A 3,526-nucleotide genomic window follows, 5' to 3' on the forward strand; every position below is an offset into this window, starting at 1 on the left:
TTCTGACCAAAATTATAAACCTTAAATGTCCTGAGAAGTTGATGTGTTAAAATTGAGAGACTTTTATTAGTTTGTTCTCACGCCGCTATGAAGAAATACCCGAGACTGGGTAATTTATAAAGAAAAGAAGTTTAATTGACTCACAGTTTCACATGGCTGGGGAGTCCTCAGGAAACTTATAATCATGGCAGAAGGCACCTCCTCACAGGGTGATAGGAGAAGGGGAAAAGCCCCTTACAAAACCATCAGCTCTCATGAGCATTCACTCACCACCAGGAGAACAGCATGGGGGAAACCATTCCCACGATTCAATTACCTCCACCTGGTCCCACCCTTGACACCTGGGGATTATTACAATTCAAGGTGAGATTTGGGTGGAGACACAGCCAAACCATATCAAGACTCAAGTGCACTTTGAAGGTATATGTAAGGTCCATCTCTGTGAGACCAGTTTCTGGACTTGTGTGATAACAGAATTAGTATAATGGACAAGGAGCTACCCCCACAGGCAGTAGAAAAGTGGAGAGAGAAAAAGAACAAAAGCCCTGTGGGTAGATTCTTTAAAACAAAAAGTGGAGTGGTGGGTGAACTGATCCTTATTATCCAGCCTCTGCTGTTACCAGGTTGCACAGAGAATCAGCATCATGGGAATATGAAAATATTCACCAATGAACTGACCACTTATAAAATTAGGCCCCACTCAAACATTCCTTGCTACACAATGCTAGTATCTAGCTGGGCCCAATATGTCAACATTGTCAGCTAATCTCTGATTCACTCATCAACCTTGTAAACGTCTGAAAATGTCGTGTAAATCCATTGCACATTTATTCCATAGTGCGGTACTCATCTTGTAAAAAATCCGGAATGTTCATAAGTTAGTTCACACTGGGCACGGTGGCTCAGGCCTGTAATCCCAGCACTTTGGGAGGCAGAGGTGGGCAGGTCACTTGAGCCCAGGAGTTCAAGATCAACCTGGCCAACATGGTGAAACCTTGTCTCTACCAAAAATACAAACGTTAATTGGGCGTGGTGATGGGCGCCTGTAATCCCAGCTACTCGGGAGGCTGAGACACAAGAATCGCTTGAACCCAGGAGGCAGAGGTTGCAGCGAGCCGAGATCACGGCACTGCACTCCACCCTGGGCGACAGAGTGGGATTCCATCTAAAAAAAAAAAAAATTCAGTGTTTTTTGATGTCTGTAAACACACATTAGGAACAAACGTAGACCTTCCTCTTTCCCCTGCCCCACCTCAACACACCTCTCTGCCAAGAATAAGATATTAGGAATTGTACTGGTCAGGTTTCTTAGCTACAAACAACTGAGTCCACTCAGAATTTCAAGCAGAGCAGAAAGTTCACATTATCATCAAAAGAATCATAGAAACAGTCTCAAAGCTCATTTTCCTGGAATAAGAGCCAAAACCTCGCCTCAGAAATGGCCAGTGAGAAATCTACTGCTATTATTGCCACCAAGACTAAGCACTAAATGCAGGTACTTGAACTTAATGCAGTCACCGCTGTTGTGAGCACTTCAGATACATTTCTGCCCTGGGAAATTCAACCTTACCACACTCCTGCCCCAAAGGCCAGACAGCCTATTGCCTCCTACAGAATAAGAGAATCACAGAACCTCTTTGCTCACGGTGATCTCTTGATCAAACTCTCATGCAAGCCTATATGATTGGTAGTGTCCATGTCACATGACTTGCAGTGTCTCAGCCACAAGGGAGGCTGGGAATTCAGCACTATTAGAAGATGAGGTTACATAATATAGAAATATCTCCAAATATTAAAAGGCTACTAAAACAAAATGGGCAGGCACAAGTGTGATTAATGTCCATGATAAGGATCTACAAAGTTCAATTAGCCTGTCTCCTTGCATCCCTTTGCTGAGGAAAGCAGCCCCAAGGAGGTCTTGATATATGAAGTTGCAGAGTTAATAGGATGTGTTGAATGAAACCAGTTCCACTCACCTGTCCACCTTGGACTGGGTCAGGCATTTTGTTTGAGTCAAAGGCAAGCACATGAAAGCGGGCCAAGCTGAACACAAGGAAATCAGCTGCTGCTTCTTGGTGTGGAATGAAACTTTGTTTAGTGGAGTCTCTCCATAATGAATCGTCATTATCATCATCATCTCAGACTTTTACTGAGCATTTATTATACACCTGGAACTGTGCTAAGTGCTTTACAAACAATATTTTGTATAATTCTCTAAACAAACTTACGGGGTAAGAACAAGTATCATCATTTTACAGGTGAAGATTCTGAGATTTATAATCCAAAATTTTTTTTTCTTTTAAGACAGGATCTTGCTCTATCGCCCAGGCTGGAGTGCACTGGTGTGATCATGGCTCGCTGCAGCTGGGACCTCCTGGGCTCAAGCAATCCTCCCACCTCAGCCTCCTGAGTAGCTGGGACTACAGGCATGTGCCACCATACCAGACTAATTTTTTTTTTCTTGAGAGGAAGTCTCACTCTGTCACCCAGGCTGGAGTGCAATGGCACAATCTCAGCTCACTGCAACCTCCGCCTCCCAGGTTCAAATGATTCTCCTGCCTCAGCCTCCCGAGTAGCTGGGATTACAGGCACCTGCCACCACGCCCAGCTAATTTTTGAATTTTCAGTAGAGATGGGGTTTCACCATGTTGGCCAGGCTGGTCCCAAACTCGTGACCTCAAGTGATCCACCTGCCTTGGCCTCCCAAACTGCTGGGATCACGGGCGTGAGCCACGGTGCCCAGCCCGGGCCAATTTTATTATTATTATTATTATTATTATTTTTTTTTTTTTGTAGAGACAAGAGTCTCACTATCTTGCCCAGGCTGGTCTTGAACTCCTGGGCTCAATTGATCCTCCTGACTCGGCTTCTCAGAGTGCTGGGATTACAAGTGTGAGTCAACATGCCTGGCCCTAAGACCTACAATATATAAATAAAAAGCTGGGGAAAAAAAAAAGCCGGGGGTTGGGCACAGTGGCTTATGCCTGTTATCCCATCACTTTGGGAGGCAGAGGTGGAAGGATCACTTGAGCCTAGGAGTTGGATTCCAGCCTGGGCAACACAGTGACACCCTGTCTCTACTAAAAAAAAAAAATTGTAATTAGCAGGGCATGGTGGTGTGCACCTGCAGTCCCAGCTACTTGGGAGGCTGAGATGGGAAGAACACCTGAGCCCAGGAGGTTGAGGCTGCAGTGAGTTACAATCCTGCCACTGCACTTCAGCCTGAGTGACAGAGCGAGATCCTGTCTCAAAAAAAGAAAAAAGAAAAAAAAGCTGGGATCTGAACCCAGGCTAACTGGAAAACTCAGGGTTTTCATCAGTACTGCATGAAAATCCATTAGAGCCTTTCTGGGAATTCAGGAATGCTCAGTACACATGGAGACGGCATGAACAGACATATGCTGTTTATCTACTCAGCATCCCTTCCTTGGGGAGCCACCCTTCCCTATGCCGTGTGCTTCTGTGAGCACTGATTCCATTCACTGCTTCTCCAGCCCCCAGTGGGACATGTGACCAGGGGCTGTCC

The sequence above is a fragment of the Homo sapiens genome, chromosome 3 (assembly GCF_000001405.40).
Source record: "Homo sapiens chromosome 3, GRCh38.p14 Primary Assembly".
NCBI lineage: Eukaryota > Metazoa > Chordata > Mammalia > Primates > Hominidae > Homo > Homo sapiens.